The sequence below is a fragment of the Homo sapiens genome, chromosome 2, assembly GCF_000001405.40.
Source record: "Homo sapiens chromosome 2, GRCh38.p14 Primary Assembly".
Taxonomy (NCBI): Eukaryota; Metazoa; Chordata; class Mammalia; order Primates; family Hominidae; genus Homo; species Homo sapiens.
The window spans coordinates 129,268,117-129,289,512 of record NC_000002.12 but is presented as its reverse complement, the minus strand read 5'-3'; the positions used below and the strand labels follow the sequence as shown (position 1 = coordinate 129,289,512).

The 21,396-nt window shown below is 38.1% G+C and overlaps 2 long non-coding RNA genes across 4 annotated transcripts in view; one reads left to right on the top strand and one right to left on the bottom strand.

Moving 5' to 3' along the window:
- Nucleotides 1-356: 356 nt before the first annotated feature.
- Nucleotides 357-21,396, bottom strand: part of LOC105373612 (uncharacterized) — a 45,936-nt gene continuing 24,896 nt past the window's right edge. Inside the window, exon 3 of the long non-coding RNA XR_007087234.1 lies at nucleotides 357-563. This is a non-coding gene — a long non-coding RNA (uncharacterized LOC105373612). The remainder of the gene's footprint in view (nucleotides 564-21,396) is intronic.
- LINC01854 (long intergenic non-protein coding RNA 1854) overlaps nucleotides 15,622-21,396 on the top strand; it is a 31,719-nt gene continuing 25,944 nt past the window's right edge. For all 3 annotated transcript variants that reach the window (NR_122041.1, NR_122042.1, NR_122040.1), the window contains exon 1: nucleotides 15,622-15,906. This is a non-coding gene — a long non-coding RNA (long intergenic non-protein coding RNA 1854). The remainder of the gene's footprint in view (nucleotides 15,907-21,396) is intronic.

The window sequence follows — 21,396 nt, the reverse complement described above, 5'->3', positions numbered from 1 at the left end:
ATGGGTGCAGCACACCAACATGGCACATGTATACATATGTAACAAACCTGCACATTATGCACATGTATCCTAAAACTTAAAGTATAATAATAATAAAATTAAAAAAAAAAAAAGAAATTGCTTGAACTTGGGAGGCGGAGGTTGCAGCGAGCTGAGATCGTGCCACTGTACTCCAGCCTGACCAACAGAGCGAGACTCTGCCTCCAAAAAAAAATATATATATATGTATATGTATATAAAGATATATATATATATGTAGTAAACACAGTTTTCCAATGTAGAACACGATTAAAACTGAAACCACCGGCAGCAACCCGTGTCCCTTCATTCTCACCCTTTCCAGGCCACAGCTCATTTCTCTTTTTGGGACCGGCTTGCAGAAGGCTTGCTGATAAAATGAGTTGTGCCTGAATGGATGCCTTGCAGTCTCTGTGGTAGTTGGAGAAGTATTCAAAGCTGCTGCCCTAGCCAGTCTCTTAGATGCACCAGCTAGCTGTGTCAGTGTTCAGCAGTCCTCAAGGTGCATAAACCTTCATGTCAGTAGGATCTGTGGTTGAGTGCATCTGAAAAGTAATGATAAAAATAAATAGACACTGAAGAGCCTTTCCATTGAGGCTCTAAGAGTGGTCTCAATGCTTTTACTTCTTTTTTTCATCCTGTAAATATACTTATTAATAATATTGTTTGGTAATATTTTCAAAAAATTTTAATAAACACTTTTAGCAGCAGTGAGCTCAACACGTTAAATGTTTGATGACAAAGTCAGCACATAAATTAGTGTTTCAAGAATGTTAACAAGCATGCACAAAATGCCGACATAATAATCATTAGAGCCAAAGTGTTATTAATGACCATTTAGAAACCAGAAGACATGTCTGCAGAAGATGTGTCAGTATCTATTTCAAAAGTTAGTGGTTGTTTTAAGAAGACTGCACCCAAAGATAATGTCTTTTTAAAAGTATCTGCAGAAGGAACATTTGCATTTCACTCGAGAAAGCACAATTTTTCATTTAGACTGATTAACTTGTTTTTCAAAATAATCTAATTTTTTAATTCCAGTATTTTTGCACACATGCTAGAAGTAAAGTGATAGCTAAAAATGAATTGGTTTCATTATGAGAAAATCTCTTCTATCAGTTAAATGATGTGAAAAACTGAAAGAATATCTTACCAACAGACCTCTATCAAAAAAAGAAAAAAAAAAGATTTTTTTAAAGCACAAGTATATGACCCCACAGGGAAACATAGAATTGCAGGAAAAAAAGCCACTGAAAGAAGTGTATATGTAAGAAAATATTGATGTATATTGATGTTGGTGGAACATATTCTGCACCAACAATAATAGCAATGTGACATAGAGTTTATAATGCATGCAGAATTAAAATTCAGGGGAACAATAGCACAAAAATAGGCCCTGAAGAATGCAAGTAAATTGTTCTGAGGTTTTAGAATTACTGGAGAAAATATAAAATCAATATTTTTTGTTATGCAGAAAAAGAATGCAAATTAGATAGTTTGTATTTCTGTGGGGTCAGTGGTGATATCCCCTTTACCATTTTTTGTTGTGTCTATTTAATTCTTCTTTCTCTTCTTTATTAGTCTAGCTGGTGGTCTCTCTCTTTTGTTATTTTTTATTTATTTATTTATTTTTTCAAAAAACCAGCTCCTGGATTCGTTTTTTTTTTTTTTTTTTTTTTTTTTTTGGAGTGTTTTTTTGATCTCTATCTCCTTCAATTCTTCTCTGATCTCAGTTATTTCTTGTCTTCTGCTAGCTTTTGGATTGGTTTGCTTTTGCCTCTCCAGCTCTTTTAATTGTGATGTTAGGGTGTCGATTTGAGATCTTTCCAGCTTTCTGATATGGGCATTTAGTGCTGTAAATTTCCCTCTTAACACTGCTTTAGCTATGTCCCAGAGATTCTGGTATGTTGTCTCTTTGTTCTCATTGGTTTCAAAGAACTTCTTGATTTCTGTGTTAATTTCAACATTTACCCAGGAGTCATTCAGAAGCAGGTTGTTCAATTTCCATGAACTTGTATGGTTTTGGGTGAGTTTCTTAATCCTGAGTTCTAATTTGATTGCACTGTGGTCTCAGAACCTAGCAATACCATTCAGGACATTGGCATGGACAAAGACTTCATGACAAAAATGCCAAAAGCAATTGCGGCAAAAGCCAAAATTGACAAATGGGATCTAATTAAACTAAAGCACTTCTGCACAGCAAAAGAAACTACCATCAGAGTGAACAGGCAACCTACAGAGTGGGAGATAATTTTTGCAATCTACCCATCTGACAAAGGTCTAATATCCAGAATCTACAAGGAACTTAAACATATTTACAAGAAAAAACAGACAACCCCATCAAAAAGTGGGCAAAGGATATGAACAGACACTTCTCAAAAGAAGACATTTAGCAGCCAACAAACATGAACAAAAGCTCAACATCACTGATCATCAGAGAAATGCAAATCAAAACTGCAATGAGATGCCATCTCGTGCCAGTCAGAATGGCAATTATGAAAAAGTCAGGAAACAATAGATGCTGGTGAGGCTGTGGAGAAAGAGGAATGCTTTTACACTATCGGTGGGAATGTAAATTAGTTGAACCATTGTGGAAGACAGTATGGTGATACCTCAAGGATCTAGAACTAGAAATACCATTTGACCCAGCAATCCCATTACTGGGTATATACCCAAAGGAATATAAGTCATTCTACTACAAAGGCACATGCAGATGTATGTTTACTGCAGCACTACTTACAATAGCAGAGACATGGAACCAACCCAAATGCCCATCAATGATAGACTGGATAAATAAAATGTGGTACATTTACACTACAGAATACTATGCAACCATAAAAAGGAATGAGTTAATGTCCTTTGCAGGGACATGGATGAAGCTGGAAGCCATCATCCTCAGCAAACTAACACAGGAACAGAAAATCAAACACCACACGTTCTCACTCATAAGTGGGAGTTGAGTATTGAGAGCACATGGACACAGGGAGGGGAACAACACTCATCAGGGCCTGTTGGGGGGTGGGGGGTTGAGGGAAGGGGACTTAGAGGATGGGTCAATAGGTGCAGCAAACAACAATGGCACACGTATCCCTGTGTAACAAACCTGCACGTTCTGCATGTGTCCTGTTTTTTTCAGAAGAATTTTTTTTAAAGTGCAAATTAGAATATCTAAGGTAAATTCTTAAATAAAACAATGCATAAATAATAAGTTAAAAAAGGAATAATAAAAATATCTGATTAATCTAGAAAAAGATAAAAGGGAACATAAAAAAGGTAATATAAAAACAAATAGTAAGATGATAGTTAAGAAACCAGATACATTAAATATAAATGGATTAAATAGTCTATATAAAATAGTACAATTTTTAGAGATGGTTAAAGAAGAAAAATTTGGTAAGTTGGGCATTATTAATATTAAAAAGAAAGAAAAACTTTTGCTCGGCAAAAGCTCATGTGAAGAGAATAGAAAGACAAATTATAGCCTGGTTGAAAATATTTGCAAACTATACATTTGACAAAGGACTAATATCTAGACTGTGTAAGGAATTCAACTAGTTAAATATGGAAAATGAGCAAAATACCTGAACAGAAATTTCACCAGAGGCTCTGCAGCTGGCAAGTGAGCCCAGGAAATGATGTTTGGTACCATCAGCCACCAAGGAAATTCAAACTAAAACCACAATGAGACACCACTACAAATTGATCAGAATATGTAATTTTTAAAAAATGTGATGGTGCTGGCCCTGTGTGGTGGCTCACGCCTATAATCCCAGCACTTTGGGAGGCCGAGGCAGGCGGATCACGAGGTCAGGAGATCGAGACCATCCTGGCTAAAGTGGTGAAATCCCATCTCTACTAAAAAATACAAAAAAATTAGCCACGCATGGTGGTGTGTGCCTGTAGTCCTAGTTACTCGGGAGGCTGAGGCAGGAAAATGGCCTGAACCCGGGAGGCGGAGCTTGCAGTGAGCCGAGATCATGCCACTGCACTCCAGTCTGGGCGACAGAGTAAGACTCCATCTCAAAAAAAAAAAAAAATTGTGTGACAGTGCCAAATATTGGTGAGAATGGGGAGAAGCTGGACCCCTCATACATCCTTGTTGGGAATGTAATATGGTCCAGTCACTAAAAAATGGTTTCTCAATTTCTTATAAAATTAATCATGCAATTAACACACAACCCAGCAGTAGCTCTCTTGAGAATAAAATGAAATAAAAACTTATGCACACACAAAAACAGTATGTGAATGTTCATAGCAGTTTTATTTGTTGTCACCAAGAACTGGAAAGTCAAGATGCTCTTAAACAGGCCAATGGTTAAACAAACTGTTACATGTATACCATTAAATACTGATCAGCAGTAAAAAGGAATAGACTACTGATACATCCAACAACTGGATGAATCTCCATGAAATTTTTCTGAGTACAAAAATGCCAAATCAAAAATGTTACATACTGTGTGATTCTCTTTATTTAACTTTGTGAAGTGACAGCATTTAAAAAAATGAGGAATAGATACGTTATGTCTAGGGCTTAGGGGAGGCAGCAAGGTGAGCATGAGGAAGGTGTGCTTGGTGATAAATGAGCCGTGCAAAGGAATCTCGAGGCAATTGAATGGTTTAACATCTCGACTGTGGTGGTGGATACAAAATCCTATAATTATGATAAAATTGTACAGAACTAAATGCACACACCCAAACAAATGACTACAAGTAAAACTGGAGAAATAGTAATAAGATCAGTAGATTGTATTCTGGTTTTGACATACTACTATACTTTTGCCAAATGTTACCATTGAAGGGAACTTGGTAAATCGTACAGAGGCTCTCTCTATATTATTATTTTTTTTGCAGCTGCATGTGAATTTACAATGATCTTAATAAAATTGCAGCTACAAAATCTAGTAAGAATAAATGTCATGAAATATGTACCTTCACATTGAGGAGTACACAGTATTGTTGCTATAATCCATATAGTTACTATAAATTAAAGAATAACAATATAAATGGAGGGATACACCATGTTCATTGACAGGAGAAACCCATATTGCAAAGATGTTATTTCTCCCCAAATTGTTATACTCAATGCAATCTCAATCACAATCCCAGCTAGTTGTTTCAAAAAATTGACTCACTGATGCTAAAATGTTTAAAAAATGCAAAGTGCAAAAGTAACAGGCAATCTTGATGAGCAGAAAGATTATTCTGCAATATCAGATGTCAAGACTTATAAAAATAAAATACATAACACTTTTTATAATGGTGCAGAAAAAGACAAATGAAATGGACAAAATAAAGGGTCAAGAAACAGATGCATAATATAGTCATCTATTATATGACAAAGGTGGCACCCTCATGTGGTGTATATAAATTTTTATATTCAATACATTATATGAAATCAATTGGTTACCATACAGAAAAAAGTAATGAATTTTGATCCCTACCTCTAAGTTTACACAAAAATCAGTTTCAGATGGATTGTTTATGCAAATATGAACAGCAAAACAATAATACTTTAAGAATAAAACTTAAAATTTATCTTCATGAATTTCTGTCAGGAAAATATTTTTTAAATAGGGAATAAAACTGCTTTTTTCTTTTGGAGATGGAGTCTCACTGTGTCACCCAGGCTGGAGTGCAGTGGCGTGATCTCGGCTCACTGCAACCTCCGCCTCCTGGGTTCAAGTGATTCTCCCACCTCAGCCTCCTGAACAGCTGGGATTACAGGTTCCTGCCATCATGCCTGGTTAATTTTTGTATTTTTCTAGAGACGGGGTTTCACCATGTTGGCCAGGCTGTTCTTGAACTCCTGACCTCAGGTGACCTGCCCACCTTGGCCTCCCAAAGTGCTGGGATTACAGGCTTGAGCCCCCATGCCTGGCCAAAAGTGCTGTTTTTAAAGAAAGAGTTGATAAATATGAGGACATTAAAATTGAGAATATACATTTAGCAGAGGACACTGTTAGGAGAACGAAAAGACTAGCACATAGAGCAGAGATTATATATGATAGATATATCTAATAAAGTACATTTTTCCAAAATATATCATGGACACCTTCAAAGAGTTCACTGACTTAAACAATCACTTCACAGAATAGCAGATGCAAGGGCCATCAAATTGTGAAAACATGCTAAAATCTATTAATGATCTGGGGAATGCAAATCAATATCACAACAATAGTGGTTATATTGTTTGCGAAAATGGCCGTATTAATTTATATCTCTGCAGGTATGTTCCTTTGCAAGGAGTTTTTGCCCCTCCTTCCATAAAAATGTAACATTTATTTCCACAAATATAACATATTTAAATACAAAACTGTAGAAACTCTTGAACCTGGAATGGCCTTGCCACTTGCTTTTACCATTAGAATGTGAAAGAAGTGATGTTATGTGCCTCCTTGGAATGTTGCTGTCACCATGCAAAATGCCCAGGTGAGCCTCCTTAAGGAAAAGAGAGCAATATGGACAGGGAGGCAGAGCCAGCAACCAATACCAAATGTCAAACCTGGGAGTGTGGCCATGGTGAACTATCCAGTACCAATTTAGCCCTTAGATAAGTAGAGCAGCATAAATGACCCCTGGAAGGATTAGCAGAGAAACTCCCCAGCTGACCCAAATCAGATTGCTGACCCATGTAATTGCACAATGTAGGAAGATGGTTTTGATTTTAAGCCTGTAAGTTTTTGTATCATTTGTTACACAGCATTCACTAACTGAAACAATGATATAACTCTACACACCCACCAGAGTAGCTAAAATGAAACATAGAGGCAATAAAAATATTTCGCACAGTTCAGAGCAACTGAAATGCTTATACTTTGTTGCCGGAAGTGTAAACTGGCACAATTCTTTTGGAACACCACTGGCAGTATCTACCAAGTTTAAAAAAAAGTAAATGGTGATACATTCCTGTATTATACAGCCATGAGAGCAAAGAACCACAGCTATACACAACTACCTGGATTGGTATCACAACCACAATGCTAAGTTCCTAGGAAAGAACTAAACCAAGCTACGTGGAGACAAGAGTCTCTGCTTTCCTGGCAGTTTTAATGTTTTGCTTTCTCCATGCGTTTTTCCCCTTATTGGAGATTATTCTGCAGAGAAAGAGCAGCCGCTAGACAGAAACTTAGACAAAGCTTCCCTCAGGCTTCCCTCCCCTCCTCCCTCATCAAATATGTATTATGGTGCAATGTGCCAGCCTCAGAAAGGGGTCCTGCAACAATATGAAAATTAATTTTATTTCCTTCTCAATGAACTCTGTGGAAAATTCTGTGAGATTAGACAAATGAACAACAAAAAAAAAATCTAAAATGGACTTCTAAGTTGGAGTGAGTCATGGAGGTCCTAAACAGATATCTACAAATCAATATGGGGAATCCAGGAAGGCTCTGAGCTTCTGATGGGAAATAAACATCTACCAGGTGCCGGGAATGGCAACTGTCAGATGGCAGAGAAAACAGTAACAGCAGACACTGAGATGTATGATGCAGTACACTCTGCAGGTCACTGCCTGCTGGGTGTGGACAAGGAGCACAGGGACCTGGCAAGAGATCAAGCAGCAAAGGTAAGTGGGCACCGGGCCATCCACATCCTGCAGGAGACAGGGAGCACAGCTGTCATCACTGCTTTCCTGGTGAAGATATGCAGACCCTTTACTCCAAGGGTAAGATGAAATAGTCATTACAAGTGCAGATTTCAGAATTAGAAAGATTTGCTGGCTGTGTGATCATGGGGAGTCACATTACCTCTCACAGCTTCCATTTCTTTGTCTGTAACATCTGGATGTTAATGATACTTATCTCATAGGTTTGTTAGTAGAATTAGTCCAGAAGAGACATAATCTACTAATGCCAAGAGCCTGGTACACAGTTAGTCCCCGGTAAATAGCAACCGTTATAGTGCTACTGTTTTCAGGCATCTCAGAATGAAGTTTTTCACACCAGATCAAAGGTGCTTACTGCTCTACTATACCAGAGGCTTCCACAGTTCCTCCAAAGGGCCTCTCGGTCCCAGGCTCGAAAGTCAAGTGTAAGCGTAGGACACGAGACACAGGAATGAGCCCTCTGTTTAGTATTCTGGAGCAAGTGAAAGCCCCCTTACCCTCAATCACATTTGCATCAGCATTTCTAAATTGCACATTGTTTTCTGGTGATCCTCACGATTTAAATTTTAATCATCTTTTTCTGGAAAAACAAATGAAAAATAAGAAACAAAAATGAGCTGGAGATACTGCATTTCTCTAAAAGGCTACCACTAATTAAGATGTTGAAAGCAATTTTAACACCATTCCTCACCACTGTGACAAATCTGACAGGTTTACAAATTAGTATTCTGGGACTCTCAAACTGGATGTCCATGTTTTGTCAGATTCTGTGAAGGATCACAAACGTGCTTGGTGATTGCTGCAAGTAATACAATAGCTCACAAAAAACAAAGTACACTCTCAGGAAACTGGCCCCTTGGGGAAATATTTTGGGCAACAGAAAATGCTGCCCACTGTCCTCCCCACCACCAACTCTTGCTAAGAAAAGAGGGCATACTCCACAGCCAGTGTGTGATGTTCCCCTTCCTGTGTCCATGTACCCTAAAACTTAAAGTATAATAAAAGAGGGCATACTCAGCCATGGAAAAATCAAGGTGGATTTTCAGGGACCCCAAGGTGGCAGAGGCCAAGTAGCCTCCCACTCCTGGGTGTCTTCTATAATCTATACTGGCCTGAGCCAGCAGAGCATAAGACTCACCCAGCTCTGGCCATTAAAACCCTACTTCTTTTAGTGAAATCTTTCCCTCTAGGGCTTTCCCCCATTAGTCCTGGAGCAACCCTTGGGTGCTGCACACAATGAATCTAAAGCCACTTTCAAACACCGGCCCTTCAACTTCAACAACAGCAGCAGGGAGGCAATCAGAGTTCGTACTTTAACATGGGTCACCTGCTTTCCCATACATAATTTTGTTGTATGCATCATAATAAACATTTTATCAATGGGAAACCTACATTCTCCCTGACTTTGCTAGTGAGACCACTTAGATTCAGAAAGATTAAGTGACTTGCTCCAATTCACATACCTAGTAAGTGGTAGATTTGGGGTATCAGTAATGACCCCAGAACTTGGTTTAAAGTCCTCACCAGTGTAAAATAAGTTCACCACTTTGAAATAAGTTCCAGCTAATTTGTATCCATAAATATAAAGCTTAAATCCCTGAGTTCCATAAGGCAACTGGATCCACTAGGATAGCACCACTCAAAGGAATGCTATTTCAATACAATCACATTCAACAAAGGTTTGCTGGGCATCTGCTATGGTTTGGATGTGATTTCTCCTTGCCAAAACTCATGTTGAAATTTGATACCCGATGTAGCACTGTTGGGAGGTGGGGCCTAGAGAGAGGTGTTTGGGTCATGGGGACAGATCCCACACGAATAGATGAATGCCATCTTGTGGGAGTGAGTTCTCACTCTTGCAAGGTTGGATTAACTATTGGACAGCTGGTTTAGAAGCAAATTTAAATTCCTAAACTCTCTCTTGCTTCCTTTCATGCCATGTGATGTCTTTGCACATACCCACTTCAGTTCTACTTTCTGCCATGAATGGAAGCAGCATGAGGCCTTCATTAGATGCAGCTGCTCAGCCTTGGAATTTCCAGTCACTAGAATCATGAGCCAAATAAACCTCTTTTCCTCATAAATTACTCAGCTTCAGGTACTCTGTTATAGCAATATAAATGGACTAAGGCAGCCTCTATTTTGGGCCAGACACTGACCTAAGTACTAGGGATTTAATTAGGAGATACTGATAATGAAACAGGTACAAGCTGAAGGAGAAATATGTCGTTAGAAACATGGTACTTGATAAATCCAAGAGGAAAAGAGTGATTCCCCTAGAGAGGAGATACTCCCACAAGAGTCATGAGCACTGTCCTGAGGATATGGGGCATGGGACTATAGGGAGGACCCCACTGGTGCTGTGACTTTGCTGATCTGTAGCCCTCCCTGAGTGTGTCAATGCGTATGGATGTCATTACCAGAAGTTTCTTGATACCATTTACATTTGTCAGTTCAACCAGGCCTTCATGTGTGGTTCCATAAAAAACTTATATCAGATATTGCTGTTATTACACTGTGTTGTACTTACAACTTGAGTTCCTTATCGCTATCATGACTGGGTTCCTAAAGGATGGAAATCATGTCATATTCATAGCTAGTAGCCTGCTGCAACACAGGGGCTGGCAGGAAAGAAGTGCATGGTAAATATTTGATACAAAACAAATCCTGAAGTGTTTCCTAAGCCATTACACAACACATTAGTAACAATTTGAAGCCCCATTAAATAATACTTTCTGTTGAATAAAATTCATTTGAATCAAAAATGATTGTTTTGGCGGTTATGAGGAAAAAACTGCACTTGTTAAGGCCAAGTTACTAATTCTCCCAGTGTCTGTGCTAGAGATTCAAATCATTTGGTCTTCTTATTAGGGCCCTTCCAGGATATTTGGAACCCAAGATGAAGGTGAAACCACATAGCACAGGGTGCTCCAAATATGTACTTTTACAGCAAATAAGCTATTTAGGATAGTTTCTCATTTTATTATGTGCTGTAGCTGCGACTGGGCTTGCTGAATTGCCATTTCCCACTGGAGAGGAATAATTCCAGAGGCAATTCTGAAAGGTCATTCCTGCCAGGGAATTTTTGATAAATTGTCTGACATAAACTCAATGTTAGATGACAATGTTTTTCTCTTCTTTTCTCTCTTTTTATCTTTTCTTATCCTCCCTCTCATTTCCCTTCTTTCCTTTTTCTTCTTAATATGAAGACATTCTGTGTTGGTAAATTTAGCATGTAGGTAACAATGGAATAGAGAGAGATTCAGGTTGAATTTCAATAACATCTAGGACATCATTAGAGGTGTCAGCTTCAAGGAGAATTTAGAAAGTGGAACCAGATATAACTATAAGCATACCTTTTCTCACCATTGTCCCTTTCCTGTGTGTAGGTCATTCTTCCCCTGGGTCCCAAGGTAAAGACTTGTAATCCTAGCACTTATAGTAGTAATACTAACATTCAGCACACTTCAGATTCAACTATGAGCTGAGAAAGTTTTACCCATTATTTCATTTAAATTCTATTAATCATGCAGTTAATTGGTTTATTACTACATTTCAGAGAGATATAAAGAGGCTTAGAGAAGTGAGCTATTTCACAGTAACATTGATAGCAATAAAGTAATATTCATCCCAGGCCTGTGTGCTTCCAAAAACCTGTGCATTTAGTCCTGTCTTGTTTCTCCATAACACACAGTATTCTGTATCTGATGATGTCTGTTGAGGGCACAGGTCATGTCTTTGCTCTGCCTTATAGATGCCTGCACAGTGCACCAATAACAGATGCTCAACATGGGTTTATTGGAAGAAGGAATAAACAAATGAAAAAACAAGTGTGTGAAACCACTGTTGCCTCAATAAGTCATTTATTCAACATTCCTTGAGTATTTTATCATGAGCTAGACCAGAGTTCCTTAGAAGCAGAGCCTGAGACAGGGATTTGCATGATTTATTGAGGAAATGATCTCAGGAGAAAGGGGATGAAGGAAGGATGACAGAGTAGGGCAAAGATAGGCAAAGATGTGGTCTCAGCTGGAGACTGACTTCAGCCTGATCCCATGGGGAGTTCTTGTGTGTGAATTGTATTGCAGAGTGCAATTAGGCAAAAAGCCAGACTTTTATCACTTAGTCATTAGCTGTGAGCTGTCCATAGGGGAGGGGCCACAAACTCCCAATCAGGCAGCTTCTAATAGCTAAGTGTGATTCTCTGGAGAAAGGGGCAGCTGTGAGCCATTAGCAGCCAACACGCAAAGGAGCTGAGGGTAGGTGACCAGTGGCTGGCGAGAGAGTGGAGTGATTGAAGGGATTAGGAGGAACCAACAGCATCTCCCAAAGCAGACATTATTAGAGCTCTACGGCCATTTCTACAGGGGATTCCCAGTTAGTATGTTCTTTCATTGCCTACATCCCACTTCATCACTGCCCCTCAGGGCCTGTCTTAAGACAGGCCTCCCCATGAAGTCTCCCTGGACCATTCCAACCACATGGATCTCTTTCAGAAATCCTATAGTACCTCTCTGAAACACGTGGTCATATAGTTAACCACTGCCTTTAAATGCCTTCAGATTGTTGTGCATGCATGTATCTGTTTCCTTATTAAACTTAGAAGCTCTTCCAAGGCATGGATTGTGGCATCAAATGGTAAGCCTCTATACAGCAGACTTGCTGCCCTCAGTCCAGTGCCCTACATGCTGTGAGCGATACAGCAGAAGGCACGAATCCTGTACAGTAATAAATAGTAATGACAGACTGAATAGTGACTCATAAACATGTAAAATTGCCATCCTTTCTATTTGTCAGGCAATGTGTTCATCCTGTATCGCAGGAAATCTGGAGAGAGTCTCCCTGGCAGTGATTTTATGGCTCTCTGTGATTCTTATGGCCTTTTCCATGGGCCTCTTACCCCATGGTCACCAAATGGCTACTATTGCTTTCCCAGACATCACATTTACATCCAAAAAGGAAGAGTTGTTGCCAGCTACATGTGTCCCTGTTATCAGACAAAGTAAAATATTTCTCAGAAGAGACCAGAAATCTTTCATTCCTACGATACAGCCACAATTGTGTTATAGGGTTATCCTTTTTTAGCAAAGAGTTTTGGCAAAATATGCATTTAATTTTCTCAGATGGTAGAGTACAGTGGGGTGAATTGCAACAAGAGAGAAGAGGAGTTGGGAATGTCTGTCAGGTCAGCACACAGATGTCACCTGCTACATGCAGCTACTAACTTACCTCCATTTCATAGATGAGAAAACTGAGGAGGTAATTGTCCAAGAACAGATTCACAATGAGTCCAGTATTCTTGCTCAACTCTGATTGTGCAGTCTGCACTGTTGACTACTGTGCTTTACTACTTCTTCAGTTACTGCATCTTGTACCTCATTCCTATCTCAAAATGCCAACTCCAGGATGGGGGTAATTTAGAACACTAACTTAGAGCATTCATCAATAAAGGGGAAAGTCAAACATTTCTAAATCCTGGATTGCTGTTGATTTCCAGTGAAGACTAGAGGTGAGAAAGCTGGGCCTAAGCTAATTTGGAAGAGGTCATCATGAGTACAAAATTAATGGCTGAACACTGTTAAACAGAAAAACAGGCAGATGTGTGGTGCCCTCAATGCTTACCACAGAAAAACGGTTATCCAGCAATTTTCTTTTCCTTTGGCCTGGGAAAAATAACCATTATTTTATTTGATAGCAGAACACCTAGGTAAGTTTTGCACATCATTGTTTTTATAGTTCAAACCTTCCTGTCTTAGACGATTCATTACTTTTGATGTTGTTTTCTAAATTTCTGCTGCAAGGAAGACACTTGGCAGAATGTCTCTTGGCAGAAGGAAGAGTATAAATATGAAGCTCATAAAAGAAAGGAGTCCGAGACATTCATCTTCTAATGTGGAGATAGGTGCAACTTCCAAGACACAAGCCGGCACAATACAGACAAGGTGTGTTGGCGGTTCACACTGTGTGGGCTGGAGTTGGCTCATACTGACTCATAAGAGCTGATTGCTAGCCTTTCTTCCCAACTCTGAGTGCAGGGGCATCACATTGACAGCTTGAAATCATCCATAGTGGGAGTATTTAAACCACATTACATTTAGACCATACATTGACAAAACACTGCACATAAGCTCCTTTTTCTCAGAGAGCTAGTTGTTAAATACTTACTGGCACATCACTTGTTAAGCAATTGAGCAGCTCATGCAATGAGCACAATCATGTTTCTCAGAACAAAACCAAAATGACAAGGAATATGAACAAAATTATGCCAGGCTGGCCTAGGGTTTGGAGAAGACCTCAGGTGTGAACTCAAAACTGCTCATCTTGCCTCCTGTTATGCACACAGTCGTGTCTTGTTTTTGTCAGCATCCTAAAGTTCTGGGTAATGCTGCTGGTGGGCAACTGGCCTCAGTTTCTTTAATCAGCATTTGTCTATTTTTTGCTTAGTACACCTGTTATTGTTAATCAGAAATCCAACGACAGGTGGTTACATCTATTATAAGTTCCTTAATGCTTTGGGGCAAGTTTAAATACTATCAAGTTTCTGGAGGCAAACTTACGAACTCACTTCACATTGCACATTGGAACTCTGCTCTCCCATTCATTATCCCTCTGATGAAATGACCGTTCACAGGTAATCAATAGCTAAACTGATAAATGGTAAGGCTTCTTAAAAATCCATTGCTTGATTGCTGAGACGGAATGTTTTATTCATTGACAGGTGTGATTTATCATTCAGTGGCAAGGAAGAGAACATTTGTTCCAGCTGTTCTCACCCGCATTGCACAGCAGTGGGGGCTTTCAGTCTGCTTCCATAGAGCAGACCGAGCTTTTGGTTAGGGAACTGCAACTATATTTAGCATATTAGGCCATTAGCTATCTGTAAACAGTCTGCATGCATTATTCTTCCCATTGTTCATAATTAAACTCCTCATCATGGGAATTGCAATGCAGATCGTCTTTGATCTCCTATTCAGATTCCAAAAACTATGAAGCCTTTTTGCCCATGTGGAACTGCTACTAGAGCTTGACCCAGCTTTGTAATGAAGCAATTAGTGATAGCTACTCTTGTTGAAGACCTACTCTGTGCTAGGCATTCAGTTAGGCCCTTATATAAATGATACATACATGTATGTGTGTGTATAATCTTTACAGTAACTATGAAATATTCTTATTCCTGATGTCCTCTGGTCATCTACAGAGATGCACAGTGAAAACAGAACTTCTCAGATGAAATCCAAGAAGCAAAACCACTAGGAGTGATACAAAATAAGGGACTTATTATGGAGGCTTGTTCTTATCCCATTGTGGAAGCTGGTTAAGGTTTATCTGCAGCTGATGTTGCACCTGCAGTCATCAGGGTTTCAGCAGGCAGTATGGAAAGACAAACAGAAACCACAAGGACCATCAGGAACCCATGCAATGAACTGGAAGCCACATTGCTCTGTCACCACCTCCAACCCTGGATAATAGGGGTGTTCTACTCTTATTCCTGAAACTAAACATGGATGTGGCCCAGGAGCCTAAGAAGCTGAATGAGAAGACTTGGTAGAGGCTGGAGGACTTGAAGGCCCAGCTGTCAACCAGGAAAAGGAGCAGAGGACAGGGCAGATGGTGTGAACCAAGGAGCTGGCTGCTGCCTTATGCCAACAAGGCACATGTGAGCTGCAGCAGCCTGTGTTGGGGAAGGCTAATTCTAGGCTGGCGCTCCTGTGGGTCATCTGCCTGTGTGTTGGTGTTCTCATTCCTGTGGTGGCAGGTAGGAGCCTACCTAGCTCCCATTGTCCAGTCCCTCTTGGTAGGCTCTTCCTTCATAAAGTCGCAGAACCATCCTGGCAGGCCAGCAAGCACAGGGGACTTCAGGAGCACTGTTGCAAGGGCACAGACTTTAGAGCCCAAGCAGGGTTTGGATCTCACTCAGTCTTCGTGATGAACTAGGGGCTCTGAGCCCAGTTACATCAAGTGCAAACTATGTTGTAAGTAATACTCTCTGGCTTGTGTGAGGATTCCTTGGGAAAAGATTTGCAGGCAGACTGGTGCAGTATCAGGAATGTGATATGCGACATACACTTAGCACATGCTGGTTCCTTTCTCTTCCTTCTGTAAGTCAGCACTGACCTTCAGTCCCTGTGCTGACATCCCTACCCCTGCCTCACTGCCTATTTGAGGAACTTTCCTACTCAGTGGTGCCTTATTGAAATGGAGCATATTCCTGCCACCCATAGGTTGGAGCACCCACCCCTGCTGGACAAGACCCTTCCTGGGGGGGCCACCTTGGAACTCTGAATGTAAGTACTTCCACCATTCCCGTCAGTGACCCTCCCACCCGGCCCAAGATCCCAGTTACCCTGACGCAGGCCCTGAGGCCCCTCCGAGCTGCCCCTCTCTGATTTCCCATTGCTCTCTAGAGGGCCAGATATCTGCGTGGCACCTGTAGCCAGCTCTGACCTTATCACTGGCACACCCCAAGGTGGGATCCTGTTCAGGTTCAGACCCTCTCAGTCTTCTCTACTCTCAGAGTTTACCAGGCCAAGCGTATACCTCACCTCAGTTTATAAAAGGCAATCAATTAATACTCAGGGATTTTCTAGTTATACTTTTATTTAAAATAATAAATAAATAAAATGTATTTTTAAAAATTGTCTATATTTGCAGCATAAAACTTGATGATTTGATATGCTAATATATTGTTAAATAATCAACAAAATCAACCTAATAAGTATATCCAACACCTTACGTAGTTACCTTTTTTGTGTGTATGGTGAGGATATTCAGGTTCTGCCCTCGTAGCAAATGTTAAGTAGAGAGTACAGTATTGTTACCTGTAGTTACCATGCTGTGTATTGGATCTCCAGAACATATTCACCTTGCATACATGAAACTTTGTGCTCCTCAACATCAACATCTACCCACATCCCCTTCCCCTAGCCCCTGGTAACCACCATTCTATTCTGCCTCTATGAATTGGACTATTTTAGATTCCACATATAAGTCAGATCATACGGTGTTTATCTTTCTGTGTCGGGCTTATTTCACGTAGCATAATGTCTTCCACATTCATTCATGGTGTTGCAAATGGCAGGATTTCCTTCTTTTTAAAGGAGGGCTAATATTCCATTGTATATACATGCCATGTCTTTTTCCATTTATCTATAGATGGACGCTTAGATTTTTTAAACTTTGGGTATTGTGAATTGTACTGTAATGAACATGATTGTGCAGATATCTCTTCAATTTCAGTCCTTTTGGATATATAAGAGGGATTGCTGGGATATGATAGGTCTATTTTTAATTTTTTTGAGGAACATCCATACTGTTTTCCACAATGGTCAGAATAATTTATATTACCACTAACAATGTAATAATGTATAATGGTTCACTTTTCTTTTTTCCACACTTTCGCCAACACTAGAAATATATATATATATATCACGCATATTATTAGAAATATATGTTACATGTATATTACATATACATTTATATGTGTATTATATATATTCACACATGCTATTGTAACAGGTGTGAGAGGTAATATTAATATTGTGGTTTTGATTTGCATTTTCCTAATGATTGGTGATGTTGAACATTTTTTATATATCTATTGGACATTTGTATATTTTTAGAAAAGTGTCTATTCAGGTCCGTTGCCCGTTTTTAAATCAGGGTATTAATTTTTTTTTTTTTTTTTTTTTTGCTATTTAGTTGTGTGCATTTCTTATATATTTGGCATATTAACCCCTTATCGGATATACAGTTTGCAAATACTTTCTCCAAATCTTTAGGTCCTTTTCATTTTGTTGGTTTCTCTTGCTGTACAGAAGCTTTTTAGCTTATTGTAGTCCCATCTGTTTATTTTTGCTTTTGTTACTTGTGTTCTTGTAGAATCCTAGTCAAAATATCATTGCCAAGACCAATGTCAATGAGTGTTTTTCCTAAGTTTTCTTCTAAGATTCTTATTATTTCAAGTTTTACATTTAGGTCTCTAATCTATTTTGTGTTGCTTTTTGTAAATGGCATAAGGGTCTAATTTTATTCTTTTGCAAGTAGATACCTAGTTTTCTCAACACCATTTATTCAAGAGATAATTCTTTCCCCATTATTTCTTCATTGAAAATTAGTAGACCAAATATGGTTGAGATTATTTGAGCTTTCTATTCTGTTCCATTGGTCTGCGCATCTGATTTTTATGCCAGTACCTTGCTGTTTTGATTACTACAGCTTTGTGGTACAATTTGAAATCAGGGAGTGTGACGGTTCCAAATTTGTCTTCCTTTCTCAGGATTGCTTTGGTTATTTGGGATCTTTTGTTGTGATTCTACAGGAATTTTATAATTGTTCTATTTTTGTAAAGAATATCATTGGAATTTTGATAAGGATTATGTTGAATCTGTATATGACTTTGGGTAGTATGACCATTTTTAAAATATTGATTTATTGAATCCATGAACACATTATATCTTGCCATTTATGTATATCATCTTTAATTTCTTTCATCAAAGCTTTATTATTTTCAATGTAGAGATCTTTTATCTTCTTGCTTAATTTTATTCCTAGTTTATTATTTTGATGCTATTATAAATGGTATTGTTTCCCTGATTCCTTTTTCAGATAAATCATTACTGTTGTAAATAAATGCAAATGATTTTTGTACTTTGATTTTGTATCCTGTAACTTTACTGAAATCATTTATTAGTTCCTGTTTTTTTTTTTTTTTTTTTTTGAGATGGAGTGTTGCTCTGTCACCCAGGCTGGAGTGCAGTGGTGCACCTTGGCTCGCTGCAACCTCTGTCTCCCAGGTTCAAGCAATTCTCCTGCCTCAGCCTCCCAAGTAGCTGGGATTACAGGCACCCACCACCACGCTTTGCTAACTTTTTTGTATTTTTAGTAGAGACGGGGTTTCACCATGTAAGCCAGGCTTGTCTTGAACTCCTGACCTCAAGTGATTCACCTGCCTTGTCCTCCCAAAGTGCTGGGATTACAGGCGTGAACCACTGTGCCTGGCCTCATTTATTAGTTCTAACATCTTTTTATTTTTTGCAACCTTTAGGGTTTTCTACATGTAGAATCATGTCATATCCAAATACAGATTGTTTTACTTCTCCCTTTCTGATTTGGATGCGTTTTATTTTTTTTTTCTTGTCTGATTGCTCTTGCTAGTACTTCAGGTACTATTTTTAATAGAGGTGACAAGAGGGGGTAATTCTTGACTTCTTTATCTTGGAGGAAAAGCAACATTGAGTATAATGTTAGTTGGAGGCTTGACATATATGGCCTTTATTATGTTGAGGAACATTCCTTCTGTACCTAGTTTGTTGAGAGTTCTTATCATGAAAGGATATTGAATTTTGTCAAATGATGTTGCTGCATCTATTGAGATGATACTATGACTTTTCTCCTTCATTCTGCTAAAGTGGTGAATCATATTTATTGATTTGCAAATGTTGAATATCCTTTTATCCCAGGGATAAATCTCATTTGATAATGGTGAAAATGCTTTTATTATGCTGTTCAATTTTGTTGAGGATTTTTACATCTGTGTTCATCAAAGATATTGGCCCGTGATTTTCTTTTCTTGTAGGGTTTTTGTCTAGTTTAGTTATCAAGGTAATGCAGACCTTGTAAAATGAGTTTGGAAGTGGTCTCTCCTCTTCAATATTTTGGGAGAGTTTGAGAAGGATTCGCATTAATTCTTTAAATGTTTGGTGAAATTCATTAGTCAAGCCATCTGCTTTAAAGCTTTCCTTTGTTGGAAGGTTTCTGATTACTGATTCTATCTCCTTAGTCATTGTAGTTCTGTTCATATTTTCTATTTCTTCAAGATTTAGTCTTGGTAGGTTGCATGTTTCTAGGAACTTATCAGTTTTCCCTATTATATCCAATTTGTTGGCATAAAATTATTCATAGTAGTCTCACGTTCCTTTATAACTCTGTAATAGCAGTTGTAATGTCTTCTCTTTCATTTTTAATTTTATTATTTGTCTTCTCTCTTTTTTTATTAGTCTAGCTAAAGTGTTGTTAATTTTGTTTACCTTTTCAGAAAAACAACTCATTAATACTTTCAATGATCTTTTCTATCATTTTTAAGTCCCTATTTAATTTATTTCTGCTATAATCTTTATTATTTCCTTCCTTCTGGAAACTTGGGGCTTGGTATATTCTTTTTTTCTCAAGTACTTTGAGGTGTAAATTTAGGTTGTTTATTTGAGATATTTTTTCCCTTAATGTAGGCATTTATTGCCATAAACTTCTTTCTTAAAACTGATTCTGCTGCATCCTGTAAATTTTGATGTGTTGTTTTTTTCAATTTCATTTGCATAAAGATATATTTTTAAATTTCTGTTTTGATTTCTTCTGTGACTTTCTTGGTTATTCAAAAGTGCACTGATTAATTTCCACATGTCTGCAAATTTTCTAATTTTCCTTCTGTTCTTGATTTTTATTTTAATACCATTGTGTTCAGAAAATATATTTGTTATGATTTCAATTTCCTCAAATTTGTTAATACTTTGTTTTGTGGCCTAACACATGACCTATCCTAGAGAGTGTTCCATGTGTGATTGAGAAGAATGTATATTTTGTTGCTATTGAATGAAATGTTCTATATATGTCTGTTATGTCCATTTAGTCTATAGTGTCGTTAAAATGTAGTATATTAATTTTTTGATCTGCATAATCTATGTAATGTTCAAGGTAGAGTATTAAAGTCTCCTACTTTCTTGGTACATTTGGACTGCTGTAACAAAATACCTTAGACAGGGTAATTTATAAATAATATTAATTTATTTCTCACAATTCTGGAGGCTGGGAAGTCCAAGATCAAGGTGTCAGCAGTTTGGTGTCTGGTGAAGGCTCACTGTCTGTTTCTTAGATGGTATCTCTTGCTGTGTTCTTCCATGGCAGAAGGGGGGAACACTGGACTCTCACATGAAGGGCAATAACCCTGTGAGGGCTCTGCCCTCATGAGTTAATCTTTTCTCAAAGGCCTCACCTCTTAATACAATCACATTGGGAATTTAGTAATAACATATTAATTTAGGGAAGACACCAACACTCAGACCATAGCCCCTACTATCATTGTATTGTTTTGTATTACTCCTTTCAGTTTTGTTACTATCCCTTTTATATACTAGTGGTTCCAGTGTTGGGTACATCAATATTTATAATTGTTATCTCCTGTTGAAAAACGTACTGCCTAATCATTATATAGTTACATTCTCTGTCCCTTCTGACAGTTTTGATTTGACATATATTTTGTCTAATATAGGATAGCCATACCTGCTCTATTTTGGTTATAATTTGCATACATTATCTTTTTCTATCTCTTCACTTTCAGCCTATATGTGTGTTTAAAGCTAAAGTTAGTCTCTTGTTGGTAGTATTTAGTTGGATCTTGTTTTTTTAATGCATTTAGCCACTCTGTGTTTTTTGATTTGATAATTTAATTTACATTTAAAGAAATTATTGATAGATGAAGACTTACTTTTGCTATCTTGTTAATTGCTTTCAGACTGGTTTGTCGTTCTTTTGTTCCTTCTCTTGCTCTCTTTTTTTGTTCATTTAATTTCTATGTATGATTATGTTTGACTTTTTTCTCTTTATCTTTTGTGTATCTACTACAGGTTTGTTTGTGTGTGCTTACTATGATGCTTACATAAAACATACTTGTAACAGTCTATTTTAAGCTGATGTCAAACTAACTTTGATCACATAAAAATCTCTATTTACCTCTTTTTATAATGTGTATTTATCAATGAATTATTATAGCAATAATTATTCTA